At 41.2% G+C, this 22,008-nt stretch overlaps 1 protein-coding gene across 3 annotated transcripts in view; it reads right to left on the bottom strand.

Annotated features, from left to right (window-relative positions):
* Positions 1-22,008, bottom strand: part of CBFA2T2 (CBFA2/RUNX1 partner transcriptional co-repressor 2) — a 159,935-nt gene that overhangs the window by 18,650 nt on the left and 119,277 nt on the right. For all 3 annotated transcript variants that reach the window (NM_001032999.3, NM_005093.4, NM_001039709.2), the window contains 6 exons: positions 20,046-20,287; positions 11,775-11,864; positions 8,085-8,266; positions 6,364-6,617; positions 2,946-3,031; positions 1,467-1,662 (listed from right to left, as the gene is read on the bottom strand). In NM_001032999.3, the coding sequence (NP_001028171.1) occupies positions 1,467-1,662; positions 2,946-3,031; positions 6,364-6,617; positions 8,085-8,266; positions 11,775-11,864; positions 20,046-20,287 (1,050 nt within the window). The remainder of the gene's footprint in view (positions 1-1,466; positions 1,663-2,945; positions 3,032-6,363; positions 6,618-8,084; positions 8,267-11,774; positions 11,865-20,045; positions 20,288-22,008) is intronic.

The raw sequence follows: 22,008 nt of genomic DNA, 5'->3' as shown, positions 1-22,008 counted from the left end.
GTTCAGAAAGTGAGGGAGACCAGAAGATTAGCTTTGTCTGTTTTTGGAGTTTTTTGTTTGTTTTTTTGAGATGGAGTCTTGCTCTGTCACCCAGGCTAGAGTGCAATGGCGCGATCTCGGCTCACTGCAAGCTCCGCCTCCGGGGTTCACGCCATTCTCCTGCCTCAACCTCCCCAGTAGCTGGGAGTACAGGCGTCCGCCACCACGCCTGGCTAATTTTTTGTATTTTTAGTAGAGACGGGGTTTCACCGTGTTAGCCAGGATGGTCTCGATCTCCTGACCCTGTGATCTGCCCACCTCAGCCTCCGAAAGTGCTGGGATCACAGGCATGAGCCACCACGCCCGGCCTGTTTTTCGAGTTTTTACGAAAGGAATCATACTATATAACTCTACATATGTGTTGACGCCTTGTTGTGCTAGATATTCCACCTAATGGTTGTAATTCCATGGTTGGCTCCAGAGCTGCTGCTGTGGGTGGGGTGGGGAAAGGTGAGCCTTTAACTCCCACTGTCTGTACATACTGTATTAATTCTGGCTTTGCCTCAAGTTTTCCTTACAGTCTTTTAGAGACTAATAGCTGCCTTCAATGGAACATACTAGGTCTGTCGTAAGAGACTTGTTCTTCGTGGTGAACATTTGGGAACTCAGAGTGCGTGGGAAGAGTCTTATCACAGATGGCCTGTCACTCAGCTATGCCTTTGGATAGGGCACTTTCTCAGTTACTGGGTGAATGTGCTGGAACATTTTGAGGGGAATAACTGAGGTTTGCTGGATGTACTCTGGATTGCTGCTGCTTCAGACTCTGAAAGGCAAGGGGAAACAACCCAGCGTGGTATGGTAAAACCTTTTGTAGGAGGCCACCAGGCCATGGTGGATTGAGTGGTATTTTCCTGAATGGTGGGCTGGGGACAGGAGGAGGGAAGGTAAGGTAAACACTTTCAGGGCTACTGTGAGAAATGAAAGTGATGACACAAGAGTGCCTAGTACATACATCCAGCCAGGCTGAATTTGACAACCAAACACTCTGACCAACACCTAGCACACATATATGTAAAGAGTTAAAGACAGAACAAAATCACAAATATTCTCATTCTCCACGAAGAATTAACATTTTTTGAACACGCCAAGTACGAGGCTGGGCACAGTGGCTCAGGCCTGTAATCCTGGTGCTTTGGGAGGGTGAGGCAGGAGGATTGCTTGAGGCCAGGAGTCCAAGGCCAGCCTGGGCAACACAGTGAGATCCTGTCTATCCAAAACAAAAAAACCCCCTTCCTGCGCCACCCACCAAAACATGCCAGGGGCTTCATATATTTTCTCATTTACTTTTCATAATCACCTGAGTTTCCCTAAATCCACAATTGAGTACCACCTTTCTTTAAAGTCAAGTAGAAAACGCCTTCTGTGACAGATTGGTGGGCTCTAAAGGCTGACATTTATTTTGGGTTTCCCGTAGACTCTCCCCTTACCATTGCTGAGAGAATCTGCACTCCCAGGGCTGTGCTGCCTGGAGACCAACTCGGTCCCCGTTTTCCTCAGCTCTGTGTTTTCATTGTACCGTCTTTTCCAGTAGTTGAGTTCTTCACGATCTGATTCCTGACAGCGCCGCAGAACTGCCATAGAGCGCCTTGTTTTCTCTACCATTTCCATAATGCAATTCAGCGCCTGAGTCACAGAGGGGGCCAGGCAGAGATGAGATAAGAACATTCAAACAACCAACACTGTAAATCAGGCCAACGCAATATGAGGAATTCAGGTTCCTTAAAGTACAGATTTAGGAATATCAAGTTTACATTTAAAACCTTTATTGCTGTCTGTTTCTCCATCAGCTAGGAAGGACATTGGTGTTGAGGCTGACATACCTAAAGAGGACAATAACTACCAGGGCTTCCAGTGTTTGGACAAAACCTCAGATGCATGGCCTTCTGGCCAACAGTCTACTATTTCATGTTGCAGCAGCATTTGTTGTATCCCTAGGGTCTGCAGCACTGTAAATTTGCTGTGGCTGAACCATAAAATAAGGCACACACACATTTCTAACAGAAATTATGAATTTTGATGAGATGAGGAAGGCTGCTATCTTTCAGAGTGCAAAATAATTTTGGAATATAAACAATTTTGGGGGGTTGAATTACCTAGAAGTTTGTTACTGACCTGTGTTCTAAAACTACGAAACATGAGTATGTGGGCTAAAAAGCAATCTCTTTACTACAGAAGGAGCAGAATTGAAAAAAATAAAAAGAAAGTTTCTTTTGATAAAAATTTAACAAATACAAATGAATTCCATCTTGCTATGTTGCCCAGACTAGACTTGAAGTCTTGGCTCCTGGGCTTAAGAGATCCTCCTGCCTTAGCTTCCCGAGTAGCTGGGACTACAGGCATGTGCCACTGCACCTGGCTACAAACCTTTGTTGTTAACCATTATACTACATGACTTTATTTGGTTTCTGACCTGAAGTGATCATCCCATCACAAAGATTAGGGAGTGACTCTGTAATTCCTCAGCTGAGGGAGTAGTAGCTAAACCAGCTTTTATTAAAAGCAAAGGATGTCATGGCTGTGGTTATGTTCACTTCAAGCATACATGTTCCATTAATTATTGGTAGCATTAAGTAGGCTGAGTGCGGTGGCTCACACCTGTAATCACAGCACTCTGAGAGGCTGAGGTGGGGAGATCACTTGAGGTCAGGGGTTTGAGACCAGCCTGGCCAACATGGCAAAACCCTGTCTCTACTAAAAATACAAAAATTAGCCAGGCACGGTGGCGTACACCTGTAATCCCAGCTACTCCGAAGACAGAGGCAGGAGAATTGCTTGAACCTGGGAAGCAGAAGTTGCAGTGAACTGAGATCATACCACTGCACTCCATCCTGGGTGACAGAGCGAGACTCCTGTTTCAAAAAAAAGTAATAAAGAGTTAGGGACATTACACACTACAAGATTCTTACATGGTCAAGATGTTTCCATTCATCAGCCCATTCCCTTTCTGTCAAACGATGATCTACCAACTCATCTTGATAGCCTCCATTTAGACCTATTAGAAATTACAGATTAAATTCAAAGATAGCAGGAAAAACACAATAGAAGCAAATTCTACCAAGTAAATACACACATATTCATAATAACTTTGATCACACTACTAAGGCAATGATTCACAATGGGGTGGGGGACCCACAAAATGACAATATAACCAACAAAGGATCACGATTCACATTATATAAAAAACTCCAACAAATCAATTGTAAAACACGAAATAGCCCTAAAGAAAAAGAGGTAAAAGAAATAAACAGGTATGTCATACATAGCATTTCACATCTAACATACTGGAAAAAATTAAAATGTCAGATAATACTAAGTGTTGACAAGGATGTGGTGCAATGCGAATAATTAACCACCAAAACTAGCGTGTGTACTGGTATAACCACTTGGAAACAGCTTAATATTATCAGTAACTTAAAAAAATTTTTTTGGTGGGGGGATAGTTTTGATATATACTGAAACTTCCAGGAATGGAACAACTGTGTGAATTAAGGGTATACCAGTAAGAATTGTCTACTATTTTAAACCTAAGTCACATACAGTAACAGTGCTTAGTCTTTGAGTCATTAACACAACACCCCTGTTACCAGTCTGAATTTATAGTCATAATATTCATAGTGACTATGTATTAGTGTGATAATCTGTTTATTTCAGTATATATTGAGTTCCTCATGATTTGTAAAATCTGTCAAAAAATGTAGTAATAAAAGCCAGGTGTGGTGGGGTGGGCCTATAGTCCCAGCCACTCAGGAGGCTGACACAGGTAGATCACTTGAGCCCAGGGGTCCAGCTTGGGCAATATAGTGAGACCCCATACCTAGTTTTTAGCATACTTCTTTCTCAAGTCAAACTGGCAAAAAAGGTCCAGAAGAAACCATTAATTAGCAAGCCAGTTTTTTCCCCCACTGTGCTATTTCCAATCAAAGCAAGCCAGTTTTTTTCCCCCCCCTTGACGGAGTCTCACTCTGTTGCCAGGATGGAGTGCAGCGGTGTGATCTTGGCTCACTGCAACCCCCACCTCCCAGGTTCACGCCCTACTCCTGCCTCAGCCTCCCAAGTAGCTGGGACTACAGGTGCCTGTAACCACGCCCAGCTAATTTTTTGTATTTTTAGTAGAGACGGGGTTTTACCATGTTAGCCAGGATGGTCTCGATCTCCTGACCTCACGATTCGCCCACCTAGGCCTCCCAAAGTGCTGGGATTACAGGCATGAACCACCACGCCAGACCGCCCGCAAGCAGTTTTTAATAGATAAAAGAGAGGCATAGGAGTAACAGGGGTTGAACACTAGGATAAGTATCATAACATACTGCCAGTACATCTAAACCTTGGGCATAAGACAATTGGGGTCTGAATTTTGTCTCTGCCAATTATTAGCTAAGTGATTTTTGGCCATAGCTCCTTCATCTGTAAAAAGGGGATAACAATTGTCTGGGACTCCTGTGAGGATAAAATAAGACAATGTACTTACAACACAATCTAAGTGGTAGCTACGACTCAGTAAATGTTGGCTCTGAGAACACCATGGCTGCTACAGCCTTCCCTATTCAGCTACTATCCCACTACATGATGCCAGGGGCCCCACTGTGGCCAAGCGTCTGAAAGATGCTAGTGAGCCTAAGTAAGAGGAAGTGAGGGCAAATGTATTGCAGTTTTTTACTCAACAAGGTATACATGGAAATTTAGGGAAACCCTGGAAGCTGATAGCCCTTTGGTTCTCTGCTCAGCAGTTTTACTCCAAAAAACCTTATGCTGAAAACGTGTAAGAGTACATGACAAACCGCTCTGTCCAAAACTAGAAGAGGTTTGTTAAGGTTTCTTTTCTGTTTCTTCCTAAATTTAAAGGTTTCTGAGCACCTATATACCAGGCATTCCAAATGGAACAACAACCTAGCACAGGGGGTGGCGTTACAATCATTTAGAAATTACTCTTCTGAGGCTCAGAGAGCCCAAGCAACTTGCCTGAGATCACACAGCTAGTTAGGATGCAGAGCCAAGATTTCGATATGCCTCACCTCCTGACCTAAATGTCCATGCACTTTCTCCTCCAAGGTGAAATCTTGCATCTTTCCTGCTTAATTTTAAAAACATTTTTTATTGTGTTGAGGCAGGGTCTCACCATGTTGCCCAGGAGGGGAGTGCAGTGGCACCATCATGGCTCATTGCAGTCTTGACCTCTTGGGCTCAAGCAGTCCTCCTGCCTCATTTTTTTTGTTTGTTTTTTGTTTGGTTTTGTTTTTTTGGAGACGGAGTCTTGCTCTGTTGCCCAGGCTGGAGTGCTGGGGCGTGATCTCGGCTCACTGCAAGCTCCGCCTTCTGGGTTCACGCCATTCTCCTGCCTCAGCCTCCTGAGTAGCTGGGACTACAGGTGCCCACCACCACGCCCAGCTAAGTTTTTGTATTTTTAGTAGAGACAGGGTTTCACTGTATTAGCCAGATTGGTCTCCATCTCCTGACCTCATGATCCACCCACCTCAGCCTCCCAAAGTGCTGGGATTACAGGCGTGAGCCACCACGCCCAGCCCCTCCTGCCTCATTTTTAATTTTTGTTGTTGTTGTTGTAGAGATGAGGTCTCTCTATGTTGCCCATGCTGGTATCAAACTTCTGGCCTCAAGTGATCCTCCTGCCTTGGCCTTCCAAAGTGCTGGGATTATAGGCATGAGCCACTGAGCTTGGCCTAATTTTAAAAACTTTTATTCTGCAATAAACTCAGATTTATAGAAGAGCTGCAAAAGGAGCACAAAGAATTCTCACATATCTTCAAACAGAGTTCTCAAATGTTAACATTTTACCTCCTTTGCTTTTTCATTCTCTTCTTCTGAACCATCTGAGAATAGGCGATACCCCTTTATTCTTTTTTAGACAGGTCTCACTCTGTCACCCAGGCTGAATGCAGTGGCAAGATCATGGCTCAATGTAGTTTTGACTTCCTGGACTCAACTGATCCTCCCTCCTCAGCCTCCCTAGTAGCTGGGACCACAGGCGCATGCCACCAAGCCTGGCTAGTTTTTAAAATTTTTTGTAGAGATGGGATCTCACTATGTTGCCCAGACTGGCTTCAAGTGATCCTTCCACCTCAGCCTCTCTAAGAGCTGGGATTACAGACACCAGTCACCACACCTAGCTGTACTTCTATCATATCATAGCAACAAGGTATCAAATGAGATTGATATCAAATAAGATCAACTATGATTCTAATAGTCTATGTATAATATTGTTTTATCCAATCAGTGGGAAAAAGCAATCATATTATTTGACTTTATCATTGAGTTGGAAAGAAATCCAAGAATCCAGTCTGAATTTACCATGCTGCTTCGGTTGCTTACCAAGACTGTGGTGTCTATCACGAACTTCTCGATGCTCTAGCATCTTGTTGGGTTCCCGATACAGGTGAGAAGTTGCAATATCCTCTAAGGTGTAATGCTGAAGAGGTGGAGGGGTAGGATGGAATTGGCCCCCGGGATTCATGAGGGGCACAGTGAGAGCAGGACTGTGCCGAGGAGCAGGGCTGATGGTACATACTCTCTTGGCAGGAGGCTCAGGAGCAATTGTGTCTCTATCAAAACTATTCTCTTCTCTCCTGTAGAAGAAGCAGAAGTGCGTATCTGATCCTGTCAACAAGTGTTCATGCAGACATTTCCTGAGAACCTACTATGTATTAGGTATTTTGCTACATGCTGGCATAAACAGGAAGCCTCTAAGGAAAGGTGTGACATGAGGCATGAGCTGAATTGTCTTCAAGGGCCAGGCACCTCATGTAAATTGCTGACTTATACCAGCATGAAAAAAGAGGTCAAATCCATCCATAACCAGACAGAAACATTAACCCTTATAAAGCAAAGGAGAGACTAAGGAGATGACACCGTTTTTCTGAGTTACGGGTTCAACCATACTTAGGAAAGTATTAAGGTCAAATTTGTTACTGTGGAGATGAGTTACTGGAAAGAAACTACATGGGAGGAAAAAGGCTCATATAACAAATCCAATTGTGTCTTTTTTTTTTTTTTAAAGCCAGTCAAATTAACAGTGGGTCCAATTGTGTAGTAGCAGGGTTTTCAGTCACTCAGATTCAACTGTAATAAATTTTCTTTTTTTTTTTTTTTTTTTACTTTTAAAAAAATGTCATTAAAGCCTATCCACTATTGTTGATATTGCCTTCTTTGATAACCCATAGAATATTTTGATAGCCACTCATAGGGAGTTTTCTAAAATAAATTCATATTAATTTTAATCTCAGTAAAGGTGAGTCATTGGCAAATATTAATAATTAATTGCTATACTTTTTCAAAACTTCTCAGATCAGAAAAAAATGCGTTTGACATAAAAGGCATTTGGCAGATTGTATTTCTTTTTTTTTGTTTTTTCTTTTCTTTTCTTTTTTTTTTTTTTCCAATTCTTTCTACAAACAGCATCAAGGAAAAGGCAGAACTGTACTCCTGAGGCTTCTGGAACAGTCGACCCATAAATTCTCTAGAGTAGAGTTTCTTACCGGGTGTGCAGGCATCTGAAGAGTTCCCGAAAAATACTCATGTCTGGAAGCTACTCCCATAGATTTTAGATGTATTATGCAGCTAGGTATTGGAATAAAGCAAAAATAACCACAGAAAGTCTGAGACATTGGGCTGGGCATGGTGGCTCACATCCATATAATCCCAGCACTTTGGGAGGTTGAGGCGGGCAGATCTCTTGAGCTCACAAGTTTGAGACCAGCCTGGGCAACATGGTAAAACCTCATCTCTCCAAAAACAAACAAACAAACAAACAAACAAACAAACAAACAAACATTAGCTGGTCATGGTGGCACGTGCCTGTAATCCCAGATACTCAGGAGGCTGAGGTGAGAGGATCGCTTGAGCCCAGGAGATGGAGGCTGCAGGGAGCAAAGATTGCACCACTGCGCTCCAGTCTGGGCGACAGAGCCAGGCCTTGTCTCAAAAAAAGTTTGAGACATTACAACCACAGCAATCAAATTCTCTCTCTTTTATAAGCAAAGGGGAGGACCAGTGCGGTTCCAGGAAGGCAAGGACAGCAAAGCTCATCTGCTCACCTCTCTGGACTGGGCCTCTTCCCATTTCCGTGCACCTCCATGAGCAACTCTGACGAGTCAGCAGGCGATGCAATGCTTGTGTTGAGCAGAAGGTGTTCGTGCTGAGCCAGGTACTGGGATGGGGTCTGCTTGGCCGCCCGAGCGCAGTGCAGCAGTTCCCGCTGCAGCAGGGGCAGGTTGGCCTTGAAAGGAAGAGGCAGTTTTTCCAGTGTTAGGCCCTACACAAGAAGGCTCAGCACCTCAAAGGGCTTTCACAAAGCAGATGATACAAGATAAAAGCCTTTCTCTCCTTGGCAGTCTGATTTTCAAATGCTTCTTCTGTGAGTCAATGATATCTCTTATACTGCACTTGAATTACTGGTTCAATTGTCTCTTGCCCCAACCAGATGTAAATATGCTTAAGGAAGAGATTGTACCTTATTTACCTTTGCAGCCTAGTATACAGTCAAAGCTCAATAAAGGGTTGTTGAACATAATAATTTTAAAACATACGCTTCTGAAGACTTTAGTCAGTGAGAGAATTACTACTGCCTATGTGGGAGTCATTCCAAGCCCTGGTTTCTCTCTTCTGGACCCCAACTCATCTCTGATAGCACTACTCAACCTTCCTTCCAGCTCTGTATAAAAGCTGCAACAGAATTCTGGAAACTGTGATTATTCTGAAACATGGGAGTTTGAAAAGGAGCACTGGGAGTGATGTAAAATGTAAAAAGATAATTCATTAAGTAGGTATTTTTCTGTCTCTCATACTTAGAAAACCTGCAATAGGAACAAATCACATTTTAAAACCCTATACATCTTTAAAAGCTCAGAACTCGATCTCTTTCATATACAGAATTTACTTTTCCCATTTTTATTAAAAAAAACATAAAGTAGAAATTATATTTTTCTCACCAAATTTAAAAGCAATGCAGGCTGGGCTCATAAGCAAAGGCTTAATCCCAAGGGACAGATGAGCAAGTGAAAGGAGAGTTTTAATACATGCAAGTAGCCATCCCTTCACTGAGGGTTAATTTAGCAGGCACCATAATTAGTGACTGTTTTAAAGCAGAAATAAATTGACAAAACCCCAAATGCTAGCCAAAAAGCTGCCATAACAACCTACCTCATGCTGTTTTCCAAAATAACAGAGTTAAGAATAAGGAATTTGACTATATAAAACTCTTTTAAAGTCTGTTCTATAACCTCAATCTTGTTGCAACTGTAAAAACTTAATTGAAAAAAACACCATGTCAGATCTTTACACGGCTGACATGTGTCCCATGATGAATAAAAAACATGCTAATTATTTCCTATTAACACAAATTTCACAAATCTTTCTTGATTCTAGAGTCTTGGGGAAATAATTGTCTACCAGCTCTGACATACATAAAGGAGACCAAGATAGAACCAGCACAGCTGTTTCAGGGCTCAAAAAGGCACCACAGGCTGCTCAGAGCAGCCGAGGCTTCAATGCCATTAGAACCGAGCCATGATACAGGCTGTGCACCTTAGACCGATGCATTTTCCTGTGTATCTGCTGTGCTCCAATAGAAGGTTTTAAAAAACTGGTATTAGTACTTTAGTAAGATAACCCATCTGTATGATGCTGTTACATTTTCTTAGGAAATGAAAATAAGGTAAAAGAAAGTAAAAGGGGCATATTTATTTGACCAGACAGTAAATATTTTAGGCTTTGTTAAGAGGCAAAATTAGACGCTGGGCACGGTGGCTCACACGTGTAATCCCAGCACTTTGGGAGGCCAAGGAGGGTGGATCACAAGGTCAGGAGTTTGAGACCAGCCTGGACAATATGGTCGCTACTATTAATAGTCTCTACTATAAATACAAAAATTAGCCGGGTGTGGTGGCGCGTGCCTGTAGTCCCAGCTACACTGGAGGCTGAGGCAGAAGAATCGCTTGAACTCGGGAGGCAGAGGTTGTAGAGCCGAGATCGCGCCACTGCACTCCAGCCTGGGCAACAGGGCGAGATTTTGTCTCCCCAAAAAAAAAAAAAAAAAAAAAAAAAAGGCAGTAAAATTAAAGGTATTATAGAGATACTCATAAAAGAGAGAAAACAAATTTCCATAAATATTGACAAAATTCAAAATACAGTAACAATTGAATACAGTTTTTCTGTTAAATGATTCTAATCAAATCAACACCAGAGAAAACCAAATCCAGGTGCGCAGATAGAATAACTATCTTGTATTCTGTAAAAACGTCAAGATCACAAAGAGCTGAGTAACTGTGCCAGATTAAAGTGGACTAAAGAGACGTGACAACAAAATGCAATGGGTGATCCTGAGTCAGATCCAGAACTATGCTCCCTCCCAAGTTTTTCTTTGTTGTAAAAGACATTAGTGGGACATGTGGTGAAATATGAATAAGGTCTATAGGTAACAGTGTTGTATGAATGTTACTTTCCTGATTTGATACCTGTATTTAAGTATTTAGATGTATAATGTCTGCAGCTTACTTTTCTTTTTTGAGACAGAGTCTTGTTCTGTCACCCAGGCTGGAGTGCAGTGGCACAATCTTGGCTCACTGCAACCTGCACCTCCCAGGTTCAAGCAATTCTCCTGCCTCAGCCTCGTGAGTAGCTGGGACTACAGGCATGTGCTAATTTTTTCTATTTTTAGTGAAGACAGGGTTTCACCACATTAGTCAGGCTGGTCTCTAACTCCTGACCTCAGGTAATCTGCCTGCCTCGGCCTCCCAACGTGCATGGATTATAGGCGTGAGCCACCACACCCGGCCTTGCGGCTTACTCTTAAATATTTCTTTTTTTATTCTTTATTTTATTTTATTTTTGAGAATGTCTCACTCTGTCACCCAGGCTGGGGTGCAGTGGCACAATGTCAGCTCACCTGCTTCCTCTGCCTCCCAGGTTCAAGTGATTCTCCTGCCTCAGCCTCCCAACTAGCTGGGACTACAAGCGCCTGGCTATTTTTTTTTTCTATTTTTTTTTGGCAGAGACGGGGGTTTTGCCATGTTGGCCAGTCTGGTCTTGAACTCCTGAGCTCATGCAATCCACCTGCCTTGGCCTCCCAAAGTGCTGGGATTATAGGTGTGAACCACCGTGACTGGCCAAAAGCTGTTTAGAAGATTTTATTCCATGTAAATATAACATATATAACATGGCCTCATTTCATTTATCATGTAAGCATGATAATGCAGAACAATCTCTCCAAAAGTTATGCTCCAGAGAACATTATTGCAGAAGACATCTTTAGAAACTAGACTATCTGGGGTTCGGGGAGACACAAACACTGTCTTCCTACATCGTCTCCTGACCTTAGAGTAAGTCTAAACTGCAAAGACCTTGCCTTTTGTCTGACAGCCTCTCAGACAACACTCTTCACACTCTGACTATACCCAAAGGATTAGTGACCAGTTATTTCTTCTGCTAGGACCTCAGCCTCCCTTCCACTTTCACACTTCCAGCCCAAGCACCTCCTATTCTCTCCTATGCTAGCTACTTCTATGTGTTAGCAGCAGTGTCTGCACACAGACCACAACTTAAGGCTTTTGCAATTCTCATCTCATTAAACCTGACGTTTATCTGTTAACTGCACTCAGACCTCTCTACCAGCCCAAAATAAAGATCTAAAAACGTGGCAAGCGGCTCTGATTTAAATCACGTAACAGGGATTAGCAGAATTTGAGGAAATATTCAAGATAAATTATATTCAGTAATTATCAAATTACCTTGAGAAATGGAATCACAAAAGGACGAAGGGGAAAGTTTGTGGCTTCTTGGAGCTTACAGTGGAATTCCTCAATTGTCACTGTTGAGTTCTGAAAAGATAAATAACCTTGTTCAACTTCCAAAACTGGACTTCCAAAACTTATAGTGCCAAACTCTTCTTTTTTTTTTTTTTTAATGTTATTTATTTATTTATTTATTTGAGATGGAGTCTTGCTCTGTTGCCCAGGCCAGAGCGCAGTGGCGCGGTCTCGGCTCACTGTAACCTCCACCTCCTGTGATCTCCTGACGGTGAACTCCTGACTTTGTGATCCACCCGCCTCGGCCTCCTAAAGTGGTGGGATTACAAGGGAGAGCCACCGCGCCCGGTCTTTTTATTTTGTTTTTTAAATGTTTAGTAGAGATGCAGTCTCGCTATGTTGTCTAGGCTGGTCCTGAACTCCTGAGCTCAAGCTATCTTCCTCCCTCAGCCTTCCAAAGTGTTGGGATTACAGGGGTGAGCCACCGTGCTCAGCTGCTAAAGACTTTTAAATCATAAGGAAAAGGATAACTGCAGGAACATCATCAGGAACTCAGACGCCTGGCAAAGGTAAACCACACTGGTTTCTTATGACAGAAACCCTCCTTGATTCCCTTCACCACCACCAAATTCTCCCCTTTGCCCAGCAGCCTAGGCTGCAGAATAGGGCACTGCCTTTCTCACTACCCATGAAGAGAGGCACTCTGATCCCTGATATTGAGGGGTTCATTGCAAGTCACTTCAGGAACAGGCAATCAAGCTTACAATGTTTCCTGTTACAGAGATAATGACTTGGCCTAGGATGTCAACTCTAAGACATTTTGGACTCAGTAACCCAGTGTCACATTTTTTCAAAAGTTCATTTCTTTTTCCAAGTTCTGCCCCCTACCTCCTGGCATAACTTCCCCCAAATCTTCAAACAAACAAACAAACAAACAAACAAACAAAAACCACCAGAAGCAAAAGAAAAAAGAATAGTTGCCTTCTACCTTCAAGTGGCCTGTATGCATTATGCATACCAGAATAACTCCCAACCGGCAAACCCCCATTGGTAAGTTATCACTGTTCTCTAAAAGGTGGACGTCCTCTGTGTTTTCCCAAAAGTCTAGGCCTCAAATTAGGAATGAGACTCAGCAACTCTGCTAAGGGGAATGAACAAATAAAAATATTTTCTTCAAAGTTCACACAATATTTGTATTTCAATTGCCGATAACACTGTATGATAACAAATTAAAACAAACGAACAAAATGAAATATGGGGATTATTCTGAATCCCTGCTTGCTCCCCAGAAAGAGCTATAACATTTCTAGGAATTTACTTTTAGAAACTTTGTAAGTGTTCAAAAACATAGTATGTAACATGCAACTTACCCCCACGCTATCACAATATATTTTCCTAACAAAAAAAAAAAAAAAGGAAAATATATAGATCTACCAACAGAAAGCTACATTAAAATTACAAGAGTCATGTATCAGAATGCTTATGCAGGGAGGGGGTAGAGCAGATTTGTACGCATTAAGGCAGAAAAGGTACCTACAATACTGTTAAGTGAAAAACCAGAAACAGAACATTATATTTTCTAAGAATCCACTTACAAAAATAACACACATGCATATTATATCATATATTTAATGCCTGGGAGAATAATCACAATAACAGTTATTTCTGAGTGTGCAATTATGTTGGATTTTCCAAATATATCATATTTATTATTCGGTAAACATTAAGACATTTTCCTTCAGGGAAAAGGGGTATGTCCAATTTAAACATATTAAAGGAAAATGTTTGAACACTTTCCCACATTTCATACCAAAAAAATTCTTTTAAAGTTAACGTTATATCTGTTTTAAGTATATGACATTTGCACAATACAGCAAAAGAAACCTGTAATTCTGGTAATCAGGAATAAAAACTAAGTGTAAGAGAATGACACTCTTTTATATCTACTGCAAGGGAAGCAATCAGGTCTTGAAAAGCAAACACAAATAGATTAAATGTATGGAAGGGCTACATGAATGATTTTAAGTATACTTGTGGGTAGACAAGGGGAAAGGATGGATTGTGTGACACAGGGAAATAGTGAGTTAGGCCAGAGAAATGGACTCAGGTTTACATACATAGTGGATATAGGGCAGTCCTGTATGAGAGGGATAAACACCTTCCTCCTTCAGCTAGTTTATAAAACCTTATTTTATATTAAGAGCATAATTGTTTGTTTCTTCCCCTCAAAGATCTCATAGTCTAGTGGGAAAAGAGGCAACTAAGCTATTCATTACAGTATGATGGAGGTACACATGTACAGGACACTACTGACTCACAGAGAAGACGTATTTGCTTAAAAATTTTTTTTTTTCAGAGATAGGGTCTAGCTCTGTCACTTAGGCTGGAGTGCAGTAGCATGATTATAGCTCACTGCAACCTTGAACTCCTGACCTCGTGATCCGCCCACCTTGGCCTCCCAAAGTGGTGGGATTACAGGCGTGAGCCACCGTGCCTGGCCATGCCCAGCTAATTTAAATTTTTTTTTTTGTAGAGGAAGGAGTCATGCTACATTCCCCAGGCTGGTCTTAAGCTCCTGGCCTCAAGTCGGCCTGGGCCTTCCAAATTCTGGGATTATGGGTGTTACCTGGCCAGAGAAGATATATTTGAATCAAACTTAGGGGGACAAGGATTTCTGTACATCAGTGTTGTCCTTGAGGAAACTGAAATGCAGCTTTGGGAAAGATGTGTCAGAGCAGAGAGAAGAACGTTGAGAGGTAAGATGCTGAGGGAATCTGGTCTCTGGATTTCAAGGGCAACACTTATACTCCAATGTATCCTCTATTCAGCTTTCTCCAATGCTTACATCTTTTTTTTTTTTTTGAGACACAGTCTTGTTTTGTCACCCATGCTGGAGTGCAGTGGTGTGATCTCAGCTCACTGCAACCTCAGCCTCCCAGGTTCAAGTGATTCTTGTGCCTCAGCCTTCCAAGTAGCTGGGATTACAGGTGTGCACTGGCACTCCTGGCTAATTTTTGTATTTTTAGTACAGATGGGATTTTGCCATGTTGACCAGGCTGATCTCCAACTCTTGACCTCAAGTGATCCTTCCAACTTGGCTTCCCAAAGGGTTACAATCTCAAAACTAGGAAACTAACATTGGTACAACATACTTATAGTTCTATACCATTTTGCCATATGTGTATTTTCATGTAACCACCACTGACCAAAATACAGAAATACAGAAACCTTGTCTATCTTTATCCTCCTGGTTTATAATAAAAATTGGCAATTATTTCCTCTACATATAGTGACAACCATATCAGGCAAAGTAATTTTTGCTGCCAACAAGAAACATAATTTAGAAAACTCAGGAGAGGGAAAGTTAGTTAGCTAGTTACCTATGTATATATATATGTATGTATATGTATGTATGTATCTATATCTATATCTATCTACAGAGTATTGCTCTGTCATCTATCTATCTATCTATCTATCTATCTATCTATCTATCTATCTATCTATCTATCTCTATCTACAGAGTATTGCTTTGTCACCCAGGCAGGAGTGCAGTGGTGTGATCATGGCTCATGGCAGCCTCGAACTCCTGGGCTTAAGTGATCCTCCTGCCTCAACTTCCTGAGTATCTGGGACTATAGGCATACTCCACTATGCCAGCTAAGGAAAGTTTATTTACTTACCTATATTTTTACTCTTAAACTCAACATTTTCTGCATAACCTGGTGTGGGATATATCAGAAAAACACAAAACCTAGGGAACTCACTGCTTATGTAGTCCCTTGGGTCCCATGAGTGAATCTGCTGTCTTCTCTCTACCTTTAAGAGTCTCTCTCTCTTTTTTTTTTAAAGTGATGGGGTCTTGCTCTGTCCCCCAGGCTCACAATCCACCTGCCTCAGCTGGGACTACATAGGTGGGACTACAGACACACTCCACCACACCTGGTGAAGACTCTAATTATTTTTGTTTTATAGGTAAAGTCCACGGCTTTTTGCTACTTATTGGGGGGAATAGGGAGAAGTCTGTCTTTCTACCTTGCCTCTGAACCAGAATGAGACTTGATTTTTAACGACAACAGATAAATTGTACTTTCCTCAGGGTTTTACAGACCTTTCAGTTAGCTTCAATGGGGGAGGGGGTACTTAATGTTGAACTGATTATCTTGGTGTATATTGTTTATGTTTATTATTTTCTTAGGATGAATGGTACCAGAAACATTGCCAAACTATCCTCCAGAAAGTACATTCTCCAAATAATAATAAGTAAGTGAAGCACAAAACATTTACCATTACCTTGAAGTGCAAAATGCCCATGCTTGCTTTCTGGTATAGTTAGGGACTCTCAGTACCTTACTTCTTATACACCATGGACACAGAATGCAGATGGATAACTCCAGCTACTAAATTATGTGGCCTTTATTTTTAGAGATGGGGGTCTGTCTATGTTACCCAGGCTGGCCTCAAACTCCTGGACCAAAGTGATCCTCCTGCCTCAGTCTCCTGAGTAGCTGTGACTACAGGTACACACCACACATATGAAACCACAATTCCACTGTTGCGTGCAGTGTTTCCACACGTGTAAAAGAATGTTCATAGGAACATTATTTGTAATGGTTCTGTACAAAAAAGAGTTAACATAGTAGGCCTAAAACTGCTAGCCTTAGAAAGGCCTGCTTGTAAGGTTGGGCCACTGGCTGGCATCTAGGACCCTGGATGGCAAACAGTTTCCTACATTGATATAAAACTTTTCTTAACTGAAGAGGTGGCAGCAACCCATGTGTCCATTGGGGAATTAACAGATCAATAAAATGTGATATAGACATAAAATGAAATATTAGCCTTAAAAAGTAGGAAAGTCTGACATATGCTATAACATGCATAAACCCTAAGGACATTAAGCTAAGTGAAATAGGCTAGTCACAAAAAGACAAATACTGTATGATTCTACTTGTATGAGGTACCTAGAGTAGTTAAATCCATAGGGACAGAAAGTAGAATGGTAATTGCCAGGGTCTAGGGAGAGGGGGGAATGGGGTATTATTGTTTAATTGGTGCAGTTTTGCAAGATGAAAAGAGTTTTGGAGATGGATGGTGATGATGGTTGTATGATAATATGAATATACTTATTGTCACTAAACTGTAAACCTAAAAATAGTTAATATAGTAAATTTCATCACAATTCAAAAAAAGCAATTGTATAAATTCCTTAACCCTGTGGTGCTCATAGGCTCTAAATACACAATGGCAAACAGGGACACATGGTGAACAGCACAAACAATATGAATGTACTTAAGACCACTGAACTGTCTACTTAAAAGAGGTTAAAATGGTATATTCTATAATGTATATTTTACTATGGAAAAAAAAGGTAACCCAAATGTGGCCATTTAAAAGAAATAATTGGACACACCTACATATACTTTTCATAACTAAAAAAAGATTCAAATTTTTTACAAATGAATTTTTTTTTTTTTTTTGAGACGGAGTCTTGCTCTGTTGCCCAGGCTGGAGTGCAGTGGCACGATCTTGGCTCACTGCAAGCTCCACGCCCGGCTAATTTTTTGTATTTTTAGTAGAGATGGGGTTTCACTGTGTGAGCCAGGATGATCTCGATCTCCTGACCTCATGATCCGCCCGCCGCAAATGAATTTTTGACATTTTTACTTTTAGTCTTGAAATTATTTTTAAGAATAGATAATACTTAATTTGCTGCTGGAATCAACATAACATTTTGATGTCTGCTTTGTTTCCAATTATGTTCAAGCTCATTTTGACATTTAACTCCAATAACCTTACTCTGGATCCAGTAAGATTTTTCTGTAGTAGTCTAAAATTTGAGGAATAAACAGGTTTAAAATAAAAAAGAACTAAACTTCTCCCTAACCGATAAGGGTGGCCGTGTGTAGAGTGGTTCTGCGAACAGTATGGTTCATGCTAAACACGGGTTTTCCTTCTAAGAGGGTAAAATTTGGCAGGTGCTAGGCAAAGACTGACTATGTGACCAGGCCCCAACAAAAACCTTGGCATTGAGTCTGTAATAGGCTTCCCTTGACAGAAACACTGCATATATGTTGCTGTTATTTTTGTTGCTAAGGAAAGGGAGCTCTGTGTTACCATTCAGGAGAGGCAGAGAGCATAAGGAAACCTGCAGATGGGTTCCTCCAGACTGTGTCTCTCTCACTATGTCTCCTTACTATGCCTCTGTAATAGATCTTAGCTGTGAGCACAACTGTATGTCAAGTCCTGTGACTCCTTCTGGCAAATCTCCAAACATGGGGGAGATGCTGGAGACCCCAAAACTGCCCCAAATTACAAATGACTTAAATGTCAGATAACCCAAAGGTATAAATTGTGGTATATTCCTACAATATGACACTATATAGCAATGAAAATAACCTACAGTCATACGTAACAAGGACTAAACCTCACAAATGATGAAAAAGTCATATATTGCATTTTGCCTTGTATGAAAGTTGTTCCTTTCATAATAGACTGAGAAATTTTTTAAATTTATGTTTTGAGATAGGGTCTCACTCTGTCACCTAGGCTGGAAGTGCAGTGGTGCAAACATAGCTTTCCTGGGCCCAAGGAATCCTCCCACCTCAACCTACTGAGTATCTAGGACCACAGGCATATGCCACCACACTCAGCTAACTTTTAAAAAATCATTTTGTAGAGGCAGTCTCACTATGTACCCAGGCTGGTCTTGAACTCCTGCATCCAAGCAATCCTCCCACCTTGGCTTCCCAAATTACAGGCGTGAGCCACCACATCTGGCCTTAGACTGAGAAATTTTTTAAGGCAATAATTCTTAAACTGTTTGGTCTCAGAATTCCTCTAATTTATATGGATTACATTTATTGACATTACTATATCAGAAATTAAAGCTGAGAATTTAATTAAAATAAAAAATAACTATATTGGTTCAGACTGAGGTGTGATTTTTAAAATCTGTATTTTCCAAAATAAATGCAGTAAGAAGAGCAGCACTGTTTTATCATTTTGCAAGTCTCTTTAATATCTAGCATAATAGAAAGTCTCTTTAATATCTAGCATACTAGAAGCCAGTTGTATTCTCTCTACTTTTGCATTTAGTCTACTGTTATATTATGAAAATAGTTTTCACCTTCTGGATCTCCAGAAAGGATCCTGGAGAATCTTCAGGGTCCCTAGATTTACACTCGGAGAGCTGCAGCTTCAAGGATTAGTGCTGTGATTCATCTTTTTATCCCATATAAAGGGGTTAACATACACAAAGGAGCACAGAATGCTTTTATTGGAGGTAAATTCAATTAGAAACATTGGGAACTGGCAGTACTTCCCTTATAAACACTGAGAATAAAACCCCACCCAGGTGTCGAAGTCAGAAAATCACTCCTTTATGCCACAGGTTCACCACGTGCAGTATAGAAAGAAAGAAAAATTATGTGTACCTTGCAAATTCTTAAGCAAGTTTATATGCACGAGGAGCTGAACAATGCAATCCCTTTGATACTGTTTATTTTGATAGTATTTATTTAGGCCACGTAACTTGTAATTTTAGAAATCATTGTTTTGAAAATTAAACTTGCTACCTCTCTACTCTCCTTGGTTTGGAAACAATGCACTAAGCACTGAATATATTAAATTACAAAACCTTGCATTAACTTGGTTGGACACCAGTGGGCCTGTTGAGAGCAGTTTTAAAAAAAATCCAAAGTTGCTTATTGGAATTAAATCACCACCTTAAATAACAAGTAAACATTATCGATTGTTTCTTTGATAAGCACTGACATAAAATCTACAATTAAACATCATGCTTATAATCCCAGCACTTTGGGAAGCCGAGACAGGCAGACTGCTTGAGGCTAGGAGTTTGAAAGCAGCCTGAACAAGATAGAGAGATCCCATCTCTACCAAAATAAAAAAATTAGCTGGGCATGGCGGCATGCACATGTAGTCCCAACTACTCAGGAGGATGCAGCAAGAGAACTGCTTAAACCTGGAAGGTCAAGGCTGAAGTGAGCTGTGTTCGCACCATCATACTCCAGGCTGGGTGACACAGTAAGACCCTCAAAAAAAAAGAAAGAAGAAAAGAAAAGAAAAGAAACCTACATTTAAACAGTTTTACACAAGTTATTCAATAACTAGTCTAGTCTGTAGCATTTGCCATATGACCATGGGTTTGAAAATGAGCAGAAATATCTAGAACTTTGCTCGCTTTGGACCTGAGCCACATACTCAGGCAGCTGAGAACAACAGTGAGGCTGTACTTACCACCAGTGCAAGAACAAGAGTCCGCACCTTCTCCCCAATCTCAGGGGAGATGTCATTGCCAAACTGTTGCAGAGTGGTAAGAAAGCGTTTCAACTTGCTGAGTTGTCGAGCACCACAAGTGGCTGGCAATTGCTGATTTGTGAGTGCAGATGATGTGGAGGAGGCAGGACCATTGCTGAATCTCTGTGGCGGTGATGGGGCACCATTCAGGGTAGGAGGAGAATGGTTGATGCCATTGCTTACTAAAAGAAAGCCAAAATGAAAGACTCAGGTTACGTGTAAAACAAGGGAACCTTTGTTCATTTTTTCTTGTTTGTATTTTCGTTTGTTCATTTGAATTTTGTAAAGCACATGTTATAAAGGTATGCAAAACTGGTTCTGTCCTCAGTGAGACTGCTGTCAGATAAAAATGGTAACAGAGTAACACTGGAGCGTTAAAAAGAAAGCAGAGTGCTCCCAGAGCAATAAGAAGGGAAATCTAACTCTACAGGTGCCATGGGCAGGGGTGGGTAGTTTTAAGAAAGACTTCCTGCAACAGGTAGTGCTTGAGATGGGTCTGGGCCAATAGATCTTTCCAGTGATGGGATACTCATGCCCATCTTTTACATTGCATCTCCTTCCCAATTTCAAGGTCCCCAAAACACTAGGCAGTCAATCAGAAGGTAGCATGTGAGCAAGACACCAGAAAAAAGAGTTATGATAATATGAGGGATATTTTTTAGGCCTACTGATTTAATGACTTATTCCTACAATAAGGTACCTATCTCTTTGGCCATCCAGAATACTCATGTCCATTAGAGCCAGTTACTCTCTGCCTTAACAGTGCTAGATTAATACTGCCAAACCCTTGGTCATTCAATAAAGCATCTTCCTGATTCCATGCAGGACACTCCCATCCTACATTTTTGCTCAAATTATAATACATGTGATTAATTACAGTTTTCCTATTTAGTTCTTAATAGTCATTTCTTGAAAATTTTAATTTCGAAAACAACCCTAGAGCTATGGTTTTGCTTGTTTGTTTTTTTGAGGCAGGGTCTCATTCTGTCATCCAAGCTGGAGTGCAGCAGCACCATCTTGGCCCATTGCAGCCTTGACCTCCTGGTGCAGCCTCGACCTCCTGGACTCAGGTGTCCTCCCACCTCAGCCTCCTGAGTAGCTGGGACTACAGGCACATGCCACCATGCACAGCTAATTTCTTTTTTTAAAATTTTTTGTAGATCAGGGAGTCTCACTATATTGCCCAGGCTGGTCTCAAACTCCTGGGCTCAAGTGATCCTCCTGCCTTGGCCTCCCAAAGGCTGGGATTACAGGCATGAGCCACCGTGCCTGGCACTGAGCTACGTTCTTGTTGGCATCAAGTAAAAATCTAAATTATCTAGTACCTAAGTATCATTCTGTTTTCACTTAATCATATCCAGCCTTAAAAAACTAAAAAAGTGAAACTTTATCTAAAAACATAAGAAACAATTTAAGACATAAGCAATGTTTAAAGAGCCAATCATTTAATCTTTACCTAGCTTAGAAAAAAGACATTTAGTCATATTTTGCCAAAAACCAACTTATTAATCATAAAAAATCTTCCACTTCCCTTCTACTTCCTCTAAGCCAGTCACAGTCAGTTAACCATCTCTGTTCCCTCTTCTTACACTGAACCTTACTCAAATTTGACCTGGCAAGCTCTTCTTCATCCCATACGGTTCAGGTATCATCTCTGTTAAGGAGCATTCTTTGACACATACTGCTGTTGCTCCGCTTGAAGGTAACCTTAGTGGATTCACTACATCTCTGTGCTGCCTATGTGCATGCTTCCACTATTTCACTTTTTTTTTTAGAGACCGAGTCTTGCTCTGTTTCCCAGGCTGGAGTGCAGTGGTTTAATCTCAGCTTACTGCAACCTCCGTCTCCTGAGTTCAAGGAATTCTCCTTCCTCAGCCTCCCGAGTAGCTGGGATTACAGGCAC

This window comes from Homo sapiens, chromosome 20 (assembly GCF_000001405.40).
Source record: "Homo sapiens chromosome 20, GRCh38.p14 Primary Assembly".
Taxonomy (NCBI): Eukaryota; Metazoa; Chordata; class Mammalia; order Primates; family Hominidae; genus Homo; species Homo sapiens.
Note: the sequence above shows the minus strand (reverse complement) of the source record. Positions and strands in the feature narration are given on the sequence as shown.